General features: G+C 57.8%; 1 protein-coding gene and 1 non-coding gene across 5 annotated transcripts, besides 11 other annotated features; one reads left to right on the top strand and one right to left on the bottom strand.

Moving 5' to 3' along the window:
• Window positions 525-19,299, bottom strand: AP5Z1 (adaptor related protein complex 5 subunit zeta 1). 4 transcript variants are annotated; one of them, NR_157345.1, is made up of 17 exons: window positions 19,166-19,299; window positions 13,610-13,747; window positions 13,168-13,354; window positions 11,462-11,606; window positions 11,124-11,233; window positions 10,551-10,719; window positions 9,874-10,014; window positions 9,470-9,507; window positions 9,238-9,400; window positions 8,494-8,672; window positions 7,146-7,326; window positions 6,628-6,768; window positions 5,971-6,082; window positions 4,993-5,090; window positions 4,331-4,463; window positions 4,035-4,249; window positions 525-3,807 (listed from the first exon to the last, which is right to left on the bottom strand). NR_157345.1 is itself a non-coding variant. In NM_014855.3 (17 exons), exons 1-17 carry the CDS (start codon window positions 19,204-19,206, stop codon window positions 3,537-3,539), a joined length of 2,424 nt encoding a protein of 807 aa, NP_055670.1. In that variant the 5' UTR covers window positions 19,207-19,299; the 3' UTR covers window positions 525-3,536. The 4 variants fall into 4 exon arrangements, 3 of the variants coding, with proteins under 3 accessions (NP_055670.1, NP_001351787.1, XP_047277054.1); NM_014855.3 differs by having other exon boundaries at window positions 7,146-7,288; NM_001364858.1 differs by lacking the exon at window positions 13,168-13,354 and having other exon boundaries at window positions 7,146-7,288.
• Window positions 1,320-1,994: an enhancer, noted in NCBI's record as "H3K27ac-H3K4me1 hESC enhancer chr7:4832559-4833233 (GRCh37/hg19 assembly coordinates)". NCBI's record gives its function as "activates a minimal SCP1, AML or CMV promoter by ChIP-STARR-seq in naive H9 embryonic stem cells {active_cell/tissue: H9 hESC(naive)}" and the evidence as "EXISTENCE:reporter gene assay evidence [ECO:0000049][PMID:30033119]".
• Window positions 2,099-2,178: an enhancer, noted in NCBI's record as "active region_25568". NCBI's record gives its function as "activates an Ori minimal core promoter by ATAC-STARR-seq in GM12878 lymphoblastoid cells {active_cell/tissue: GM12878}" and the evidence as "EXISTENCE:reporter gene assay evidence [ECO:0000049][PMID:35858748]".
• Window positions 2,569-2,688: a silencer, noted in NCBI's record as "silent region_17903". NCBI's record gives its function as "represses an Ori minimal core promoter by ATAC-STARR-seq in GM12878 lymphoblastoid cells {active_cell/tissue: GM12878}" and the evidence as "EXISTENCE:reporter gene assay evidence [ECO:0000049][PMID:35858748]".
• MIR4656 (microRNA 4656) lies at window positions 6,283-6,357 on the top strand. Its single transcript, NR_039800.1, has one exon. It is a non-coding gene; the product is annotated as a microRNA 4656 (primary transcript).
• Window positions 18,621-18,730: an enhancer, noted in NCBI's record as "active region_25567". NCBI's record gives its function as "activates an Ori minimal core promoter by ATAC-STARR-seq in GM12878 lymphoblastoid cells {active_cell/tissue: GM12878}" and the evidence as "EXISTENCE:reporter gene assay evidence [ECO:0000049][PMID:35858748]".
• Window positions 18,751-18,810: an enhancer, noted in NCBI's record as "active region_25566". NCBI's record gives its function as "activates an Ori minimal core promoter by ATAC-STARR-seq in GM12878 lymphoblastoid cells {active_cell/tissue: GM12878}" and the evidence as "EXISTENCE:reporter gene assay evidence [ECO:0000049][PMID:35858748]".
• Window positions 19,151-19,220: an enhancer, noted in NCBI's record as "active region_25565". NCBI's record gives its function as "activates an Ori minimal core promoter by ATAC-STARR-seq in GM12878 lymphoblastoid cells {active_cell/tissue: GM12878}" and the evidence as "EXISTENCE:reporter gene assay evidence [ECO:0000049][PMID:35858748]".
• Window positions 19,204-19,880: an enhancer, noted in NCBI's record as "H3K27ac-H3K4me1 hESC enhancer chr7:4814673-4815349 (GRCh37/hg19 assembly coordinates)". NCBI's record gives its function as "activates a minimal SCP1, AML or CMV promoter by ChIP-STARR-seq in primed H9 embryonic stem cells {active_cell/tissue: H9 hESC(primed)}" and the evidence as "EXISTENCE:reporter gene assay evidence [ECO:0000049][PMID:30033119]".
• Window positions 19,341-19,470: a silencer, noted in NCBI's record as "silent region_17902". NCBI's record gives its function as "represses an Ori minimal core promoter by ATAC-STARR-seq in GM12878 lymphoblastoid cells {active_cell/tissue: GM12878}" and the evidence as "EXISTENCE:reporter gene assay evidence [ECO:0000049][PMID:35858748]".
• Window positions 19,651-19,740: an enhancer, noted in NCBI's record as "active region_25564". NCBI's record gives its function as "activates an Ori minimal core promoter by ATAC-STARR-seq in GM12878 lymphoblastoid cells {active_cell/tissue: GM12878}" and the evidence as "EXISTENCE:reporter gene assay evidence [ECO:0000049][PMID:35858748]".
• Window positions 19,781-19,830: an enhancer, noted in NCBI's record as "active region_25563". NCBI's record gives its function as "activates an Ori minimal core promoter by ATAC-STARR-seq in GM12878 lymphoblastoid cells {active_cell/tissue: GM12878}" and the evidence as "EXISTENCE:reporter gene assay evidence [ECO:0000049][PMID:35858748]".
• Window positions 19,881-20,557: an enhancer, noted in NCBI's record as "H3K27ac-H3K4me1 hESC enhancer chr7:4813996-4814672 (GRCh37/hg19 assembly coordinates)". NCBI's record gives its function as "activates a minimal SCP1, AML or CMV promoter by ChIP-STARR-seq in primed H9 embryonic stem cells {active_cell/tissue: H9 hESC(primed)}" and the evidence as "EXISTENCE:reporter gene assay evidence [ECO:0000049][PMID:30033119]".

Here is a 21,229-nt window from a genome sequence, read left to right as displayed (position 1 = left end):
CTTGAACCTGTACCTTGTGCTGACCTCCTGTCTCATCCCGTGACTAAGAATGCCTGTCCTCCTGGGAATGCAGCCCCGCAGGTCTCAGCCTCGTTTTTACCCAGCCCCTATTTAAGACGCGGTTGCTGTGGCTCCCACGCCTCTGACCTGAGTCATGCAGTATGTGGCCTTGGGTCTGGATTCTTTTGTGTCCGGAATTGGTGGGTTCTTGGTCTCACTGACCTCAAGAATGAAGTCGCGGACCCTCGCGGTGAGTGTTACAGTTCTTAAAGGCTGCGTGTCCGCAGTTTGTTCTTTATGATGTTCGGATGTGTTCGGAGTTTCTTCCTTTTGGTGGGTTCGTGGTCTCGCTGGCTCAGGAGTGAAGCTGCAGACCTTCGCGGTGAGTGTTACAGCTCTTAAGGCGGCGCGTCTGGAGTTGTTCGTTCCTCCCAGTGGGTTCGTGGTCTTGCTGGCTTTAGGAGTGAAGCTGCAGATCTTTGCGATGAGTGTTATAGCTCATAAAGGCAGTGTGGACCCAAAGAGTGAGCAGCAGCAAGATTTATTGCAAAGAGCGAACAAACAAAGCATCCCGGTGTGGAAGGGGACCCGAGTGGGTTGTCACTGCTGGCTCGGGCAGCCTGCTTTTATTCTCATCTGGCCCCACCCACATCCTGCTGACTGGTAGAGCCGAGTGGTCTGTTTTGACAGGGTGCTGATTGGTGCGTTTACAATCCCTGAGCTAGACACAAAGGTTCTCCATGTCCCCACCAGATTAACTAGATACAGAGTGTTGACAAAAAGGTTTTCCAAGTCCCCACCAGAGTAGCTAGATACAGAGTGTCTATTGGTGCATTCACAAACCCTGAGCTAGACACAAGGTGCTGATTGGTGTGTTTACAAACCTTGAGCTAGATACAGAGTGCCAATTGGTTTATTTACAATCCCTTAGCTAGACATAAAGGTTCTCCAAGTCCCCACCAGACTCAGGAGCCCAGCTGGCTTTCACCCAGTGGATCCTGCACAGGGGCTGCAGGTAGAGCTGCCTGCCAGTCCCGTGCCCTGCTCCAAAGGCACTCCTCAGCCCTTGGGTGGTCGATGGGACTGGGTGCCCTGAGCAGGTGGCAACACTCGTTGGGGAGGCTCGGACTGCGCAGGAACCCACGGAGGGGAGGGGGGAGGCTCAGGCATGGCGGGCTGCAGGTCCCCAGCCCTGCCCCGCAGGAAGGCAGCTAAGGCCCAGTGAGAAATCGAGCACAGCAGCTGCTGGTCCAGGTGCTAAGCCCCTCACTGCCCAGGCTGGCGGGGCTAGCCGGCGGCTCCGAGTGCGGGGCCCACAGAGCCCACGCCCACCCGGAACTCGCGCTGGCCCGCAAGCACCGCGTGCAGCCCTGGTTCCCACCGCGCCTCTCCCTCCACACCTCCCCGCAAGCTGAGGGAGCCGGCTCCGGCCTTGGCCAGCCCTGAAAGGGGCTCCCACAGTGCAGTGGCGGGCTGAAGGGCTCCTCAAGTGCTGCCAAAGTGGGAGCCCAGGCAGAGGAGGCGCCAAGAGCGAGCGAGGGCTGTGAGGACTGCCAGCAGGCTGTCACTTCTCACTTTCACTTAGCATATAATGTTTCTAAGGTTTATCATCTTTTCTGTAAATCTGAAAAACTATTCTAAAATTTCAGTTTATTTAAAAAAAAAGTTGAGAGCTGGTGAGCTTTGCCCTTTTCCCAGCTGCCTCCTGGAGGCCACCTGAAGGTTGCTCCTCCCTGGGCTGGGGTCATGCCCTCCGAGGCCCTGTGGCCATGAGCTCCTCCTTGTCCCTTGGATGAGCGGGACGGCCCTTCAAGTCACACTCCCAGTCCTAAGCCGGGCGCTGCTGCACAGGCTGCGGACTTAGCACCAGCTGGCCTGGGCGGTGGCCCCACGAGTGCCTGGGAGCTGGGAGCCAGGACACCCCCGACGCCTTCAGGTCAGGGAAGCCCCGCCCCAGGGCAGGAGGGGAGCTGCGGACTCAGTGGGAGACTCATTCCGAGCCTAGGGGCAGCCCCACGCTCTCTGAGCTTCGGGATGAGCCCAGCAGCGCCCCCACACCCACTGCTGCAGGCGGGGTCGTGCACCGCACTGGGAAGTGATCCCGAGACCCGCGCACTGGCACGCACGCCTTGGTATGCACAGTTGTACACGTGCGCTGCTGTTTCCACGTGGAAACACAAACACAGTGCTGCCGACGGAAGCGCCTGCCAGCGCCAGCCTTTCCTGCGGCCCCGGCTCAGCGGCCCTGGGCTGTCATCGCAGGCCGCGGGGGACACCAGCCGTCCTGGAGCTCGGAACGCGACCCAAGGCCCAGGCTGTGGGGCAGGCGAGCGCTTCCTGGGCTGGAACCTGGCGGTGAGGACCCCGCGGTTCGGCTCGGGCATCTGGGGAGCTCCTGAGCCCGCACGGTGTCCCCTGCTCCGTTCCTTGCGCGTCACTCGCCCCCTCCATAGTCCTGAGGCTGGGCAAGGGGCAGGACCCTGCAGTCGCCTTCAGCCTGTGGTTTCTTAGTCGCAGAGCTATGGGGGATTGGGGGCGGGGCCGAGGCCGGAGGGGAGGTGGGCGGGGCCAGAGCAAAAGAGGAGACCGGGGGCGGAGCCAGAGTGGGGAGGGGGAAGAGTTTGAGCCTGGGGGCGGGGCGTGAGGCTCTCGGGGCGGCGGCGCCCCCTGGCGGCTGAGCCCGTCCCAGGCACCGGGCGGAACGTGCGACACAGCTGTGCCTTGGTAGTCCGGAGGGTGGGACCACAGGGCCCAGGAAGGTGGCGGGGCTGGGGCCGCACGCCCAGACACCTCCCCTTCGCGCGAATCCAGTGTTCTGAGCTCCACTCAGGTGGCTCCCTGGGGCCTTCCCTCCGAATGGCCAGAGGCCGCAGCCTGCATAGGCCATGGCGCTTGCAACCCTCCCCCGGTCCCCTTCATCTTCAGGCTATTCAAGGGCATCAAAAGGGGCATTGACAAGCGCACCACCCAGAGCGGTGACCACACCCGGGAACTCGCGCCGCTGCCTTCCGGGCTGTGCACAAATGACCTGGTTTCTGTAGCAGCAGTGGCACGCCGGGCTGAGCCTCCAGGACTGGCAGCAGCTGCCAGGGGTTCCCATCCCTGGTCCTCTCCCCAGGGTGCAGGGCAGGTAACGGAACTGATCGCGCACTCTTCATACAGACGCTTATTAAAGGAGATTTACTTTTACTGCAGCTCTTCTTGCCCATCAACTGTCCAAAAACAAAAGACTAGGAAACAGACCCAGCAGCCTCCACCCGACCCAGCCACAGGGCCTCAAGCCTCCAATCAGAGCCGCTCCATGGCACCCCTCAGCTCAGCTCAGTGTTGCCTGGGAGCAAAAGGCTCGGAGACAAAGCCCAGAGGGTGAGCAGGGGGGCCAGCCCCGCGTGTCTGTGAGGGTGCCAAGCCCACCGTGGGCCTTGCCTCCTCTCCCAGGACTCCCGCGCCCTCCTGAGCTCCTATCAGCCTGGCCTCAGTAGCAAGCTGGCTGCCCAGGCTCTTAATCTGCACCGAAGTCCCTGGCCACTGTCCCTTCACCCTGGCATGAGGCCGGCCTCCCTCTCCACCAGCCGGCTGACCGTGCGCAGGGCCAGGGGCAGGGCCGTGTTGGCATCGCGGTGATAGCGGGGGCTGCACACCTCCGTGCTGGGTGTGAGCACAAACTGGGCCACGCTAGGCATCTTCAGCAGGGTCAGCAGCTCTGTGGCCCGGGTACGGATGGCTTCCGCGCCCTCCTCGCTGTGCGTGGAGCTGGTGGCTGGACTGTGAGCCAGGGTCCTCATCTTTGACAGCAATAAAGAGGCCCTGGGGAAAGAAGGTCCCTCCGTCAGCTGCAGATGCTCCCCTCCCAGGACAGGGGTCTGTGTGGAGGGGCCAGGCCTGAAGCGCCCAGCAGAGTGGCTTTAGCTCAGCAGGGCCCACCCAGGACCTGCGCTGCTGCGACCATTTCACAACACCTGGATGGGAAGACCTCAGAAGCCACCTCTCTTCCCCAGGAGCCAGAAGGCTTCGCTCCCTCCCTGACCAGGCACCTGGGGATCAGATCTTGGCTCCGGGAGGCCAGCTTCGTCAGCGTGGTCATCAGCACGGTGACCACCTGGGGGGGACACCTGGGCAGGGCAGCAGAGGGGCGGCACTGGGTGACCTCGAATAGCAGAGCCTCCAGGGCTTCGAAGAACTTGTTGATCTGCTCCACGGTGCACCTCCGATCGTAGGTCACCGACAGGTACTCGCCGATGGCCCACACCTAGGCCCGGGGACAGAGATTCAGCCCCCACCCAGGCCTCCTGGGTCAGGAGCGGCTGTGGGAGGCCAGCGCCCGCCTTACCACGCTGGTGACGAGGCTCGCCCTGCTGCAGAGACCATTCACGCTGCCCAGGAACTCCAGCAGGTCTCTTGCCAGCTCCACCACCAGGGAGGGTTTCAGCGTACACAGGGCCAGGAACTGAGAACTCAGCACACTGCCCAGAAAGCCGGGTCTACGCCTGCTCTGTGCAGACCTATGACCCCATCCCCATCCAGGCCAAGGGCCTGGAGAAACCCGGGAAGCGTCTGAGTGGTAGGTGTATGCTGCACCCTCCGATAGAGGAACACAGAAGACTGCCAGCCTCAGAGAAACTGTTCTCACTGGGGAGAAGGCTGGCACCAGCGCTGGCCTCAGGCCCAGGCTCAGAGTGGAACCAGGATGGGCCTGCATGCATCAGGCCTTTGGAGAGAAGGACCCCAGGGGACAAGACGGGGAAGAGGGACCTGAGCTAACCCTGAAGAGGACAGGCTCGGCAGAAAGAAGGACGGGAATGTTCTTGAGAAGCAGAGAGAAGTGCCTGGGGCTGGGTGTGGGGCTGTGGGTGGGGGTGGCAGGGTCTGAGGCTGCTGAGGGCCCAGCTAGGGGTGGTGCCGAAGCCACTGAAGGGGAGGGGGGAGGGGAGAGGGGGAGGAGTCCAGGAGGCACCCGCCCAGGGCTGTGGCAGGAGCGCAGGAGGGACCTACCTGTGCACACCGGCAGCGTACCCTGGGGCCGGGTAGAGCGAGTCGCTCCTGCCCAGGAGCAGCAGCGCCAGCTGGTTGATCAGGGACCCGTCAGCCACCTGGGGGTCAGGAGTGGGAAACAGGCTCAGCCCCACCCCCACTGCAGGCCCTAAGGTTGGGGGTGAAGCCATGGTGAGGGCTGGGGGGCAGGTGAGGGGCTGGAGACTCCTCGTCCACTGCCTTCCCCAACACCCAGGGACACAGAGACTCAGCTGGCAGCATCCGGGCACAGGGAGGGAAGCCCTGGGCTGGCCCAAGTGCCCCCGGCAGAGGTGTCGCTTCTGTTCCACGGCTCCTCTGCCAACTCCCGCTCTGCAAGGCCAGGCACACGTCTTGTTTGGCCAAGGGTGCGCCCAAGCAACGCCCAGCCCCCTGCCGGCCTCCCCACCTCCCAGGCTCTCCTGCACTGGCTTGTAGAGCTCCCCGAGGTGGGAAGCAGCAATGGGGGAGATGGGGGGCACCAGCCTGTGGGAGCCTTTATTTTGGCCTCAGATGGGGATGCTGAATTATCAGGGGCAGCAGGGGGACAAACTGCTCCGGCCCCAGCTGTGTGGCCAGAGCCCAGGCCACTCACTTGCCCTGTCCTGGGGACGGAAGACAGGGCCTGCTGGGGCAGTTGGATGGAGCCTGCTGGGATGGGAGACAGGACCTGCCGGGATGAAGGGGATGGGACGGGGATTGGGGGACGTGGCCTGCCGGGATGAAGGGGATGGGACGGGGACTGGGGAACGGGGCCTGCTGGAATAAAGGGGATGGGACAAGGGACGGGGCCTGCCGGGGCTGTGGCATGTGCCTCCCTGACCCTCACAGGGACCGTGGATGGTGGGTGTGGCGGGAGCAGCCTTCTGCAGAGCTCAAGAGGGCCCCCCAGTGCTGGCTCTGGCCTGCCCCTCAGTTGTGAGGCCTGTGGGAATGGGGGGCCCCAGGCAGCGAGCTCACCTGGGTCACTGCTGAGAAGAATGCCTGCAGCAGCGTGGGCACGGCCTGGGCACACTGGGCCACGCGGGCACAGCCGGCCATGGGCTGCAGCAGCTGGTGGAGTGGCGCCAACCTGAGGACACAGTGTGGCCGTGAGTGCTGCCCGCTCCCCGACCTGGTGACTGCAGGCCGGGGCCACGTCGCCACTGCTCCCTCTCGCACAGCTGAGCCCGCTCCCATCCTCACTCATCGCCTCTCGGGACCTCCTGCTCCCCTGGGTTTGGGGAGACCCCTGGCGTCAGCACACCCGGGACAGTAAAGCCATCGGGACAAAGGCTGGCGTGGGCTGAGGGCAGGAGGCCTGTGGCCGGTCCCAGGCCTCCTGCTTCCTGGGCTCAGGCTCGGTTTGTCCATCTGCAAAATGGAGCACCCACAGGGCCAACCTCCAAGCTTATGAGGGTTGATGTGGGCAGCAGAGAGAGCTGAGACCAGGCCCCGCCCCCGGCAGACCCGTGGTGCAGAAGCAGGGCCTCTATAATGGTGATGACGGGGACGCAGCCTTGTGTGGGACACAAAGCACCCTGGCCTCAGCCTAGGGCTGAGCAGTGAGCCCCACCCCAGTGGCTGTGGCCGGGCTCTCTGAGCCACTGGTGGCCCCCTGGCCCTAGGGCCCCGTACCTCTCAGTGGCGCCACTGGCCTTGGGGCGCAGCAGGTATTGGAAAAGACCCTGGAACTGCGGGTCCCGGAAGGCCTCCAGGCAGCTGGGGGCCCTGAGAGAGGTGTCCCAGAGTGGCCTCTCGGATGCAGCCGGTGCTGACCTGCGTGGACAGACGCCCAAGGCCAGGCTGGGATGCGGCCCCTGCACTCAAGGGCACCCCCGTCAGGGAGACACACGGCAGGTGTCCCTAATATCACAGCACCTCGGGTGCCAGGAAGGGCTTGGCATGGGAGGCTCCAGGCCTGGGCGTGAAGACGGGTGAGGCACTCCAGGGTGCAGGGGCTGCCCTTGGCAAGTGGCCAAGGGTGACAGACACACCCTGTCCTAGAGGTGGCTTTGCAGGGGAGGACTGGTCAGGTGTTGGGGGGGGAAGAAGGAGGGTCCCCGGTGTAGGGGTCAGGAGCAGCGAGGAGGGGGCCCAGTGTGTGGAACCAGCTGGCTGGGAGACGCAGCGCTGGCAGAGGGTGAGGGGCCCACCTGAGCTGCAGGTCCAGCACCGCCGTCAAGCAGGGCAGGTCCAGCAGCGCGTGCAGCATCTCCAGGGCTGTGCCAGCGTCCACCAGGGCCGGGAGGAGCGCCACAAACTCGGAGGTGAGGGGTGGGCTGTTCCAGGCCAGGAACTGTGGGCACAGCACAGCGGTTCGGACACGGCTCGGAGCTGTGGAGCAGGCGGCAGAGGGAGGAGCCAGCTAGGGCCCCACAGCTGTCCCAGACCTGCAGTCCCCAGGAGGGCTTCTACCTTTGCCTCCTCCCGCTTTTTATTTTTTTGAGACAGGGTCTTGCTCTGTCGCCCAGGCTGGAGTGCAGTGGTGCAATCATAGCTCACTGCAACCTCAACCTCCCAGGCTCAAGTGATCCTCCCACCTCAGCCTCCTGAGCAGCTGAGACTACAGGCACACACCACCATGTGAGGCTGTTTACTTTTTGTAGACAAGAGGTCTCCCTGTGTTGCCCAGGCTGGTCTTGAACTCCTGGCCTCAAGATCCTCCTGCCTTGGCCTCCCGAGGTGCTGGGATTACAGGTGTGAGCCACTGCCCCCAGCCTGTATCTACTTTCGTACCAACAGGTCAATAATTTTCCACTGTCCTGGTTTTTCTCCAGAAAGAGGATTCCCCACCTCAGTTGAAAAGACCTTACAGCGAGGCGAGGCTGCAAAAGACACTTCAAAAGCAAATGGCACCAGGCCGGGTGCGGTGGCTCATGCCTGTAATCCCAGCACTTTGGGAGGTCAAGGCAGGAGGATCATCTGAGGTCAGGAGTTCGAGACCAGCCTGGCCAACATGTCGAAACCCCATCTCTACTAAAAATACCAAAAATTAGCTGGACATGGTGGTGGGTGCCTGTAATCTCAACTACTCAGGTGGCTGACGCAGGAGAATCGCTTGAACCCAGGAGGCGGGGGTTGCAGTGAGCTGAGATTGCGCCACTGCACTCCAGCCTAGGTGACAGGAATGAGACTCCATCTCAAAAGAAAAAAAAAAGGCAAATGGCACCCAAGTGCCCAAGGCACCAGGCAGGGCTCCCGGGGGAGGGATCCTACCAGGCAGCAGCCCTGCCCCAGTGCTGTGAGAACAAACTCACCGTCTTGTGTCACAGCCCCCTCTCCAAAACACCCACAAGGGAGTTCTTGGACAGCACCGTCAATCACGTGACGCTGCAGGGACACCCCAGATCCCCACCTCACCCTGCACACCGCATTCCAGGCCCGGGACTCACAGGGCTCTATGCTCAGCCAGGACTCGCCCTGAACCCCGCTGGAAAGAGGGGAGGAGCCCCAGGGACTTACCATGCCCCTGCCCTGGCACCCAGGGATGCCCAAATATACCTTAAAGAGGTTGGGGAAGCTCAATCTGAGGGTGCTGAGGTGCCCGCTGAACAGGTGGAGGTTGTCCCTGCAGAACTGGATGAATTCAAAGGCCAGCATGGGGCTGTGGAACTGCTCCACCGGGATCCTGGTGAACAGGTGCTGGTAGACGGCTTCCGAGTCCACTGCAGCCGCTTCCCCTGCAAGACCAGGGCCCGCCAGGGCACACGTCTTGACCTCGCCCTGGCCGTGCTTCTGTGACTGGTTAGGGGCCCTGAGTCTCAGGCCTGCTCTCCAGGACACCAAGGGCTCCGAGGCGTCCTACGCTGGGACGCTGGGGAAGCGGCACTTGGTCTCCCTCGCCCAGGGACACGGACAGCTCGTGAGTCACACACACTATGGCACATTCTTTGGAAGGTGCTGGTTCCTAGACTTTCAGGTTTCCTGGGCTAGGGACACAGCAAAAAGAGTCTGTTTATTTCTCTATTTAAAAGTTTAAAAATTACCAACATCTGGCACAGCAATCCATCAAAAAGAAATATGAGCTGGGCACGGTGGCTCATGCCCGTAATCCCAGCACTTTGGGAGGCCAAGGCAGGAGGATCGCTTGAGGCCACGAGTTCCAGACCAGCCTGGGCAACACAGCAAGACCCCTGTCTCTATTCAATCAAAAAAAAAAAAAAAAAAAAGGGAAGAAGAAATTCCATCCTAAAACTAAAGGCAGAAGCAGAGCCCCGAGTCAGCGCCACCCCACCCTGGGCTCACCGTGGCTCAGGAAGAAGTGGGCGAGGGGCAGCAGCACCCGCACAGAGGCCGGGTCCCCGCGCACCCGCCCGTGCAGGGCCTTCAGGCAGGAGAGACTTCGGTACAGGAAGGACGGGTCCTGCCGGCACAGCACGTCCAGCACCAGCACGGCCTCCACCAGGCACTGCGGGACATGGACCACATCAAATGGGCCGAGTCGCTGCCTCCCATCCCCTGGTCCCCAGCCACTTACAGCTTTCTGCAGGTCGGAGTCCCCCTTCCTCAGGGCTCCTGGAAGGAGGGGAAAAAGTCAGCCGGCTCTGTCTCAGCCTTAGAGTGGCCCAATGAGGGGGCAGCTTGTGCTCTGGAAGCTCCAGGCAGGACCGGGAGCAGGGGGGTGGGACAGGCCCCCAGGAGGACTTGAGTGGGACTGAGGCGAGGGGCCCAGGTGGGACAGGGCCGGGCTGGGGGCTGGGGTGGAGCCTGAAGAACACTTGGGGCTGACCCCAGAAGCAAAAATGCCCCTGCTCCAAACCGGCTACCCAGGGACCCCCTCTGTGGAGCAGTAGCTCAGGGAAGCTGTGCTGGCCTCAGGTGGCCTTGCAGAGCAGGTGCGTCGAGCCCTGGGGAGGCCAGTGCCCTGGGTGGGGGACTCACGTCGGTTACTTTGCTCAATGAGGCGCTGGCAGTACTCGAAGGCCACCTCCCGAAGCCGCTCCCGGGGCGGCAGCAGGCGGCCGGCAGAGGAGGTGGCGGAGATCACCGACAGAGTGGAGCCCTCCTGCTCTGACCTGTCATCTGCGGGAGGTGGGAACTCTCAGCAGGCTGACGTGTGGCTCCCGGGCTGGGACATGCCTGCTGCCCTGCTTGGAAGGGCAGGAGGAGAGCACAGGCCGCAGCCCCTCCCGGGAGGCGTGAGGCGTCACCGTCTCAGGACGTCCACCCACCCGGCAGCTTCCCCATCACGGCCGCCCTTCAGGGTGGCTGAGGCTTCTTCCCCAACAAGTCCACAGAGCAGCCGGGAGGAGCTCAGTGGCGTCACTCCAACAACCTTAAGGGTGCCTGCCTTAAGTGGGAGCTCTCACATCTGCACATTGCATGAGGGTCACGGGGTGTCCAGAGGATCCCCGGTGCTGACCCTGGACCCCAAAGATGCTGGCCAGGGAGTGCTCTCCGCCTAGCTCCAGGTCAGCAGGCTGCGTTGCTCAGTCCTGACCTCTGCTGCATCCTGGGCACACCCGAGTCCCCCCACCTCCGCCCGTGTCCCCCTGCGACCAACCCATAGTGCGCCCACCTCCCACCCCTGTCTGACGTCATCCCCCCACCCCGCACACCTGTGTCCAGGGTGCCCGGGCCCTCGGGGCCGCTGTGCAGCAGCCACGCCCGCAGCATAGAGAAGGCCTGCACGTTCAGCCACTGGTCGTCTGTGAAGCGGTGGCCGCTGGAGAGCACCGTGAAGAAGTCTGTGGCTACCGCCCCGTCCACCTCGGTGACGGGGCCCGGCTGTGGGAAGGACAGGCAGGAGTGGGCGGAGGGGGCCGAGGCCGGGAAAAACGCCAGCCTTTAGCACAAGCTCCTCAGGAGGTGGAGGAGAAGCTGCCTGAACATGAGCCCGGGCAGCGGCCCGCCCTGTGTGATGCAAAAACACCATCCCCACCTGACCCCCAGGCAGACGCGCGTCGCACACCCTGCTCCGCAGGCCCTGGGACTGAACCCGCGCACAGACCCCCAGAGCCACACGGGTCAGGGGGCTGTGGCCCTGCCTGACCCAAGCCCCGCAGCAGAGGCAGGCTCGTCCTGGACCCCGCGGAACGACAGCAGGCCTCGCCGCTGTGGGCACAGGAGCTCTCAGGGAGGGGTTGTCTGTGACTCTGTTCCCCATGGTTCCAGAACAGTCCCAGCCTCACCTGCCGGGCCCTGGGCGTGGAGAAGAAGCCGCCGGAGTGTGGGAGCCCTTGCTGGAGGCTGGCGTAGCGCAGCCAGTCGACCAGCCGCTTGCTGAGCAGGGTGGCCTGGTCTGCAGTGGGTGGGGTGGCATGGGGAGGTGAGGTTGAATCCTACAGATGCCTGGGTTGTTGGGATGCTGGCCGACTTTTCTCAGAAAACAGAATCCTGCAGCGTCCCAAACCCTCGGGCCTCCCCGTGTCCCCCACCTGCCCCCCACACTCCCAACCCACCATGGGCCCTCAGGGAAGGACCTGGGAAGGCAGACCCCCAACAGCCTCTTGGGAGGGGCCCCGCGTACCCTCCTGGAGGGTGCCCGGGCTGAGGACCACGACCTTGGCCATGACGGGGAGGAGGTGTCTGAGGCTGGGTCCCTCAGGCTGCCGGCTCTCCAGCGCTCGTAGCACGCCCTGGCCCACGGCTCTGACCTCCTCGTTTCTGTCACCCTTCAAATCAAACAGGGCAAACGCTGGGGTACTGGCCTGTGCCAGAGACCAGCTCCCCCATTTCGGAAGTCTGTGTGACACTCCTGAGAAGCGTCGGTCGCTGAGACCCCGGCCTAGCAGGTGGCAGGGAGGATGTCCCGCGCAGGCCCACCCCGGGCCACAAGGTGCCTGCTCCGCCTCCAGCCTCTCTCCCTGGGAGCTGCATCGCTGAGGCTGGAGGGGGCCTGGGTGAGGGCACGGCTGATTCAATGCTAAAAACACACTGGCGGCCACCATGGCCCTGGCCGCAGACACAGGACACCCCGTCCTGCGGGGCCTCCAGTGTGGATCCCAGTCTTTAAACCACCCACCTCACTCTGCACACCCAGGTGCTGAAACATCTGAGCAGCACCAGAGACACCCAGCACAGGGGCAGGGCCGTCAGGGCAGGGAGGAGGGCGGCTGGGTGGCTGGGAGGCCACGTGCCGGGCGGGGGGTGCACCGCTGGCGCCTGGCAGCAGTTCTGCAAGATCATCTTCCACTGAAAAAAATGAGTTGCTTGAGGAGAAGGGCGGGTGAAACAAACAAGAAGAGCCGGAGTCATCTTGTTCCAAAGGCCAGGAGCTACCACAGCATTACCGGGGTCATCTCGGAGGCCTGGAGGTGGCCTGCAGGAGGTCTGTGAGGTGAGGGGGCTGGGCACCAACCAGGATGACCCCAGTGATGAAGTACAACGCCCTGAGTACGCCGGGGCCCACAAGCTCTCGCCCACACAGAACTAAAGCAACCGCAGGCTGCACCCCAGCACAGGAGGCAACTCATGACGCTGCAGGCTGGGAACGGAGGGAAAAGCCCAGCTCCATCGCAACCTTCCTGCAGACTCTGCACCCCTGGGCAACCCATGAGCAGAGATAGCAGCTTCTCTCACACAAAGGCAGCCTGTGAACCCCTGGATCCCCACGCTGAGTGCCCAGGCCTGCTCCCGACACAGAGGGAGGGAGGACATGGACTTGGCAAAAACTCCTGGCCAAGGAGGGTGGATTGCTTGAGCCCAGAAGTTTGAGACCAGCCTGGGCAACATAGTGAGACCCCAGGTCCCTACAAAAAAATACAAACATTAACTGGGTGTGGTGATGCATGCCTGTAATCCCAGCTACTCAGGAGGCTGAGATGGGAGGATTGCTTGAGCCAGGGAGGTCGAGGCTGCAGTGAGCATTGATCACTCCATGGCACTCTACACTGGACAGCAGAGTGAGACCCTGTTTCTAAAAAACAAAACAAAAACCCCAAAAAGAAGGTCTGGAGGCCCAGCCTCCACTGACTCGCTGTCTCAAGGCTCTGTCTGAGAAACCAAACTCCACCACCTCTCCTGAGCACCAACATACCACGTGGGCCTGCTGGGCATGGGACCCCGTTCCAGTCAACAGGGCATGCCCCAGCCTCAAGTGTGCCAGGCACTCAGCACCGAGATGCGTCTACAACAAGCAGCCACCTGCCGGCTCTGGCGCCCCTGCTTCCTGTCTCCCCTGTTCCTTGGGAAGCAGCCATCCGGTGCCAACTGGGGTGGTGACTGCTGCGCTACCTGGGCCAAGAGAACGGAGGCCACCAGGCTCAGCTGCCGGCTGTTCTGCGTGTGGTCCCAGGCCAGGCTGAGGCTGTCAGAGGGGGACATCTCTCGCAGGATGGCGGCGCAAAGCACCTGGAGCTGCTCGGGGCATGCAGGCAGGCCGAGGGTGGCCTGCAGCAGGTCTACGCATGTCTTCTCCAGCCTGGAAGGCGAGATGCCCGTGGTGGGCGGTAACACGTCACGACCGTGGCAGGAGCACCCGGTGCCCCAGAGCACCTGGCCGGGCACCCTTGGGCCAGTGGACAGAGCATTTTACATGAGGATGGACCTTCAGCACTGGTTTAAGTGGACAAATGACTCAACCCCCAAGGAGCATCTGCAGTGACCTGCTGGGCGTGGGCTGGGTTCTCCTGGGGCCGCTGTGTGAGGAGCCGGCCTGAGCCGTCGCCACACTCACCTCCGGCTGTACTTCGTGGCTGAGATGATGAGGAAGAGCCTCTGCAGGGAGTCGAGGGTGTCCGGCCCCAAGTCCTCCGCCTGCAGCAGTTTACAGATCCGGGAACAGAACTTCTTCAGCTCCTCGTCCTGGATCTCCCTAAACAAAGAAGAGGACTTCAGGACCCAGAAGCACTCGCTGCTCGGAACCAAAAAAAGGATAACCCTTGGAGCAGGGAAAATCCCTCTTTAGAAAAGAGAAGCCGAGTGTGTGGAGGAACACGGTTCCACGGCTCATGGCTCTCGAGATAAATTCGCTGATTCCCTGAGCTGGTTCCTCTCACCCTGGGATTTCCCGATCCATCGCTGCAGCGCACTATGACGAATCTCACTCACGGAGGCCCCATGCACTTAGATTTTCTTGTTCCCAGGGCAGAAGGACTAAAACCGATTCTTTTTAGGGGTCTCATTCAAGAGTAGGAAATTTACTCTAGAATAAGGTGCCTTTCAAAAGATGTCTTCAATGAGCCTTTTGCTTATGGAAACAAGAATAAATTTTTTTTTTCCCCGAGATGGAGTCTTGCTCTGTCACCCGGGCTGGAATATAGTGTCATGATCTCGGCTCACTGCAACCTTCGCCTCCGGGGTTCAAGCAATTCTCCTGCCTCAGTCTTCCGAGTAGATGGGATTACAGGCACCCACCACCACGCCCGGCTAATTTTTTTGTATTTTTTAGTAAAGACAGGGTTTCACCATGTTGGCCAGGATGGTCTTGATCTCCTGACATCGTGATCTGCCCACCTCGGCCTCCCAAAGTGCTGGGATTACAGGCGTGAGCCACCGCGCCTGGCCTACGCCCGGCTAATTTTTGCATTTTTAGTAGAGACGGGGTTTCACCATGTTGGCCAGGCTGGTCTCAAAACTCCTGACCTCATGATCTGCCCACCTCGGCCTCCCAAAGTGCTGGGATGACAAGCGTGAGCCACCACGCCTGGCCTGAGAATAAAATCTTATATATTAAAGAACAAATGTCATGACATATTGTAAGGTAAGCCCATTATGTTTTTTTACTCGAATAACTAATTGGCTTAATTTTAAAATCTCCCTAGTAAGCCACAGGTAAGATACTGAAAAGTCCCAAATGGAAGCCTGTTTTTAGGTTTCTATCCCAGTCTAAAAGAAAGAACCAATAATGCGCAAAGGGGTTGCTGTGCCAGGGGACTCTGGGGACTCCCTGAGAAGGGCCCCCTACGTGGCTGTGCCCTCCCCAGGCCACCTGTAATCCCAGCACTTTGGGACGCTGAGGTGGGAGGATGAGTTGAGTGCAGATGTCTGAGACCATCCTGGGCAAAACAGTGAGACCCCATCTCTACAAAAGAATAAAAAAAATTCGGCCACGCACGGTGGCTCACACCTGTAATCCTAGCATTTTGGGAGGCCGAGGCGGGCTGATCACCTGAGGTCAGGAGTTCAAGACCAGCTGGCTAACATGGAGAAACCCCGTTTCTACTAAAAATACAAAAAAAAATAGCTGGGCGTGGTGGCACAAGCCTGTAATCCCAGCTACTCAGGAGGCTGAGGCAGGAGAATCACTTGAACCCGGGAGGAGGAGGTTGCAGTGAGCTGAGATCATGCCATTGCACCCCAGCTTGGGCAACGAGAGCAAAACTCCGTCTCAAAAACAAAAAAAAATAAAAATAAAAAAAATTCACTGGGCATGGTGTAGTCCCAGCCACTTGAAAGGCTGAGGTGGGAGAACTGCTTGAGCTGGAAGATCAGGCTGCAGTGAGCTGAGATTGTGCCACTGCACTCCAGCCTGGGTGACAGAGTAAGACTCTACTTCAAAAAAAAATATATATATATAATATAATATATATGTTATATATAATGTTATATATGTTATATATGATATATATGTTATCATGTTATATATGATATATAATAATCATGTTATATGACATATAACACGTTATGATATATAACATGTTATATGTTATATATCATATATAACGTGTTATGTTATATACGTTATATATGTTGTTATATGCGTTATATACGTTATGTTATGTTATATACATTATTTCTAATGTTATATATGTTATATCTAATATATGTTATACATAATATATGCTATATATTATGTTGTTATATATGTTATGTTATATATGTTATATAGTTGTTATATATGTTATATATAATATATAATATGCTCTATCTCAAAAATGTATATAATATATATTTTATATATATTACATATAAAAATATATTTTTATATCTATCTATCTATCTATATATATATTTTTTGAGATAGAGTCTTATGCTGTCACCCAGGCTGGAGTGCAGTGGCATAATCTCAGCTCACTGCAGCCTGATCTTCTAGCTCAAGCAGTTCTCCCACCTCAGCCTTTCAAGTAGCTGGGACTACACTAAGCCCAGTGAATTTTTTTTATTCTTTTTTTGATTATATATAAAATATTATATATCATTATATATTATATATAATGATATATAATATAACATATAATATATAACATATAATTATATTATATATTACTAAATATATATGTAATATATAATATATAAAATGTTATATATAAATTATATATACACACATATACATATATACACACAATGGAAAATCTTTCCCAGAAAGGTGGAACCCCTCATCCCGATTAAATTCCCTTCAGCATATTCTCCAAGTCTCAAGCTTCTCTCTAAAATCCAACCCACCCAAACCCTTCAACAGCTCCCCACTGCTTTCAAATCCAAACTCCTACAGACCCCAACGCTGCCTCCAAGAGCCCGGCCCCGCCTTCCTTCTCCAGACTCCATGTCCTGTTTCTTTTGCTTCTGTCCCTTCGCACAGACCCTGTGCCTGATACATGCCCCACTAGCTCCCGAGCTAGTGGGCTGAGGCTCTTCCTCCTGGAAATCCCCGACCTTGCGGGGCACCCCTCCATGCCCCCATCCTTTACTCGCTTCCCGCTCTCTCCATTTATCCTTCAGCTTGCAGCGCTATCTTTGATCACTTTTTGCACCCTTGCTTTCCGTATCTCTGACACATTTAGAGAGAAACTAAAGTTCACTCCAAATCTTTTTGGCTTTCTTTGGAGACAGGGTCTCCCTCTGTCACCCGAGCTGGAGTGCAGTGGCACCATCATAGCTTACCGCAGCCTCAACCTCCTTGGCTCAAGTGATCCTCCTGCCTCAGCCTCCTGAGTAGCTGTGACTATGGGTACGTGCCACCACACCTGGCTAAGTTTTTTAAAAATTCTGTTTTGTAGAGACGGGTCTCGCTATGTTGTCCAGGCTGGTCTCAAAGTCCTAGCCTCAAGCGATCCTCCTAACTCGGCCTCCCGAAGTGTTCGGATTACAGGCGTGGGCCAGTCACTGCGCCTGGCCGGCTCCAAACCTTAACCCTCAAACTACAGTCATTTATTTTAAAATATCATCAGAAATCACAGGCTTAAGAATATTGTGAAAACTGGTAAGCCCTAATAGATTAACCTTCTTGAAACCCTAACAGAGGGCAACTGCAGAACTCATGTATGTTACATAGGGAAATTCAACCACACTCTATCCTCAAAAACGGCTGCCCACCCGAGCCAGGGAGGCAGAGAAACAGGTATTTAAATAGTGAGGGCTCAGCCGGGTATGGTGGCTCACACCTGTAATCCCGGCACTTCGAGGGGCCGAGTCAGGCGGATCACCTGAGGTCAGGAATTCGAGACCAGCCTGGACAATGTGGTGAAATCCCATCTCTACTAAAGATACAAAAAATCAGCCGGGTGTGGTGGCGGGCGCCTGTAATCCCAGCTACTTGGGAGGCTGAGGCAGGAGAATTGCTTGAACCCAGGAGGCGGAGGTTGCAGTGAACTGAGATTGCGCCATTGTACTCCAGCCTGGGCGACAGAGGGAGACTCTGTCTCAAAAGAGACTCTAATAAAAATAAATAAATAAATAAATAAATAAATAAATAAAGAGGGCTCTTCCTTTTGTTTTTCATGTCACAAGTTTATGACCTTGAGCAGAATGTGACTGGGAATGAAGTTCTCAGTGGGTGTTTTTCCTTGTCTCTTGGCAAGGACCTTGGGATTAACATGTTACATGCTGAGATGCCAGTATTTTTCATTTTCATATAGTCCCCACATTCACATGAATGACATATCTGTCCAGGATTGAAGGGAAGGTTGCCTATGTTGAGCTGCTGGGAGATGGTGCTGCATATTCACCAAGCCTCTTCCTAATGAGTGGACTCTTAAGGGTTATTTTGATCAGAGATTTTTGTCCTGTTCGGGCTTTAGAACTTAACCTGCCTTCAAGACCTCACTCACTATAATCACAGCAATTTCAACCACCCGAATCTTTCCCACCAATTGGTCTAGCTCTGAGTCCAGGTTTGCTTGTTTGTTTTGACATGGAGTCTCGTTCTGTCACCCAGACTGGAGTCCAGTGGTGCGATCTTGGCTCACTGCACCCTCGGCCTCCTGGGTTCATGCACTTCTCCTGCTTCGGCCTCTCACCTCACCAAGTTTGTTTACGTTTACCAAGGGGCTGTAGTGCTGGCTGTATTTTCTTTACTTTTTTTCTTTTTTCTTTTGAGACGGAGTTTCGCTCTGTCCCCCAGCCTGGAGTGCAGTGGCGCCATCTCAGCTCACTGTAACCTCCACCTCACAGGTTCAAGCAATCCTCCTGCCTCAGCCTCCCGAGTAGCTGGGATTACAGTCACCCACCACCACGCCCGGCTAATTTTTTTTTTTTTTTTTTTTTTTGTATTTTCAGTAGAGACGTGGTTTCCTCATGTTGGGCACGCTGGTCTCGAACTCCTGACCTCAGGTGATCCGCCTGCCTTGGCCTCCCAAAGTGGTGGGATTACAGGCGTGAGCCACCACGCCCGGTCAGCATTTTCTTCTTTTAAACATGTAGTATGAAGTCTTTGCCTGTTTGGTGGACCGTGAGTCTGTTCAGTCCTGGCTTACACTGTTTTCCCCCATGACTGGTTAGTTGGTGAGGAAGGAGCTACTCACTCGTTACTGGGAGTCCAGACACAGCCTGAAACCAGCCTGGAGGGTGATTTCTCAGCCTAGCTAATACATCCGCGCAAGAGAGATCTTTTTAAGTCACAAAACCCTCCCACGGTTCCGCAAAGCCCTCGGATGGCCTCCAGCTCCCCAGCCTGGCACACAGCCTTATTCCTTAGCAGGCCTCCGGACACTGTGACTTTGCGTTCTTGACTGTGAGGCACTGAAATCTCCCGGCTGCCCGATTTCCTGCCAGACGCGGAGTTCTCACCGCCAAGCCTTTGACTAAACTGTCGACTGGGTCCCACCCCACTTGCTTTCACTCACCAAGACTCTGCTCAAGTGTCACCTCCTCCGGGGACCCACCATGACCCTCCCCGACCTCCTCACCCCAAGCCTGGCCGCCGTGTTGCCTTACCCGATCCCCAAGTCTCGAGGGCGAGTCCAGTCGGGTTCCTGCAAGGCTGGCGCCCAAGCCCCTGCCCTGTGAGACCCACCCCCGTGTGCCCCTAGGGAGAGATGCAGGAAGGAGGGCCGGGGCCGCAGCTCCCCCGTACCTGGCCTGGTGGAGCAAACTCTCCGCTCCTGCCGAGAACATCACGCCGCCGCCACCAGACGCGCACGAACCTCGGAAACTCCAGGAGCTGCAGCCCAGGAGCTCCGCACCCCGGTCAACTTCCGGGACCGCGTCACGTGAGCGCAGCGGCCTTACGTGGCTGCGTCACGTGCCGCATCACATGAGCAGGAGGGACAGGTTGCCGACCAATGGGCTTTGGCGTGGAGCGACTGGGGCGGGGCGTAGGTGCCGCGGCCGGGGGTCCGGGTCGGCGCCTGGGAGCTGCGGAATCGCGCGACCCCGGAACCTCGGCACTCTGGAGCCCCGGCGCCCTTCGACCCCGGAAAGCATTTCGGCGGAAATTGGGCGCCTGGGGCTTTGGGAGAGGGCATTGCTGGCCCCAAAGTGTCACTGCCCCAGTTCTGGTTTCTGTTTCGTAAACAGCTTTGTCGTGCGGGAGTCCCTTTGCTAAGTACGACCTGAAAATCTGATGCAAACTCCGACACTTGTGGGCTGAGCCCAGCAGTGTCCAGCAGTTTGCAAGGAATAGCCGCGGCTCTGGGCAGTTTTGGGGATTTTTTGAGCTCCCATTTATTGAGCACCCATCCCGCGCTGTTCCTGCTGCTTGAAACGAAAAAATCCCTTATTCAATCCCCACGGTATTCATGGGATCTCGCGATCTCTGTTTTACAGATGAGGCCACAGGCTCGGAGAGGGGAAGTTTCTGTTCATTCTAACGGATGTGTTGGGTGCCCAAATGTGCTGGGCCCTGGCCATAAGTTTGCCATCCTGCAGACGGCCGAGGGACACAGGGCGACACGCCAGCGTCATGATAAACGCTATGACAGCCTGACCTGGTTGGGGGTCCAACCGGAGGAGGAAGGCTTCGGCGACTGCGGCCTAAGATGAGCCCAGAGGGTGTCCAGACCAAGGGGTGGGGAGGGACGGGCCTAGGGTAGCGATCTGCTTCCTATGGCTTAAATGCACCCCAGGAGGAAACTGATCTCTGGCCGCAGGGGAGATAATGGATTGGGAAGCTCCTGAGGGAGAAAGGAGGCTGGTGCAGTTGTGGTCCAGGTAAGGGAGGTTGCCCCGAAAGTAGGCAGATTCAGTACCATTTAGAGGTAGGATTTGCACCACCTGTGATTGAGGAATTTGCAGGCAGGAGGAAGAAAGTGGAAAAATCAAGGGTAACTTCATGTTTGTGGGGTGTCTGTCTGGGGCAGAAAAGGACGAGGAAATTTGTGCCAAGAGTCATTCATTAAGTGGACAAGCGATGATTGAGTCCTAGCTGCGCTAGGCACTGCTGAAGGTTCTGGGGAATAGGGTAGGGGTGGGAATCAATGTTGCGTAGATAGGGTGGGTCAAGGTTAGGCCTTGAAGGGATAAGCCCCGAGAAGACCCCTGGATGGAAGGAAGGAGGAGGAGGAGGGAGGGCTTCCTGCAGGAGTTCCAAACATGGCTTTGAGATGCCCTAGGGCGCCCAGTGATGTCTGAGGGCACCTGGTGCAGAGAATGAAGAGATGGGAATCGGTGGATGGTGAGCGGTGGATGGGAGTCGGTGGAGTGCGGCGGGTGCCCCTGGAGCCGCAGGTTGAAGACTGGCAAAGGAAAGCTGGTGACAGGTAGTCTATGGAAAGCCTACTGCCAGTGTTTAACGTTTACTAGGGTAAAACGTCCACACCAAAGCGCACAAATCTTAAATGAACTCCACTATTTACATTTCTAGAAATCGGTGGTAAATTTGCAAATGTCTTAAGCCTCGGCTCCATTGGCGACGGTGGGGAGCCGGGGGTTGATTTGTGTTTGATAATTTCTGTGGTGTAAATGTTCCTGCCATGGTTTGAGTTCAAGACCTAGACCATTTCCAGCTCCCCAGAGGTTCCCCGCTGTGGCCCCCTCCCAGTCAACGCCCACTCCCTTCCCCCACAAGTAACTGCTAGTCTCTCTTATCACCAGAGATTAGTTTTGCGTCTTTTTATACTTCATGCAAATGGAATCGTACCGTACTTAGCTTTTCTTGTTCGTCCATGAATATTTGGTCGGTTTCCAGATTTTGACAATA

Source organism: Homo sapiens, chromosome 7 (assembly GCF_000001405.40).
Source record: "Homo sapiens chromosome 7, GRCh38.p14 Primary Assembly".
Classification (NCBI taxonomy): Eukaryota; Metazoa; Chordata; class Mammalia; order Primates; family Hominidae; genus Homo; species Homo sapiens.
This window is presented reverse-complemented; position numbering and strand designations above follow the sequence as displayed.

What these genes read in the sequence shown, in the direction of transcription:
- AP5Z1 (NM_014855.3), bottom strand. Translation starts at nt 19,206, where the DNA reads ATGTTCTCGGCAGGAGCGGAGAGTTTGCTCCACCAGGCCAG. An exon ending in CCACTTCTTCCTGAGCCACG is followed by an intron (nt 8,673 to 9,237) that starts GTGAGCCCAGGG and finishes CTGGTCTTGCAG; the next exon opens with GGGAAGCGGCTGCAGTGGAC. An exon ending in TCTTCTCAGCAGTGACCCAG is followed by an intron (nt 5,091 to 5,970) that starts GTGAGCTCGCTG and finishes CCTGACCCCCAG; the next exon opens with GTGGCTGACGGGTCCCTGAT.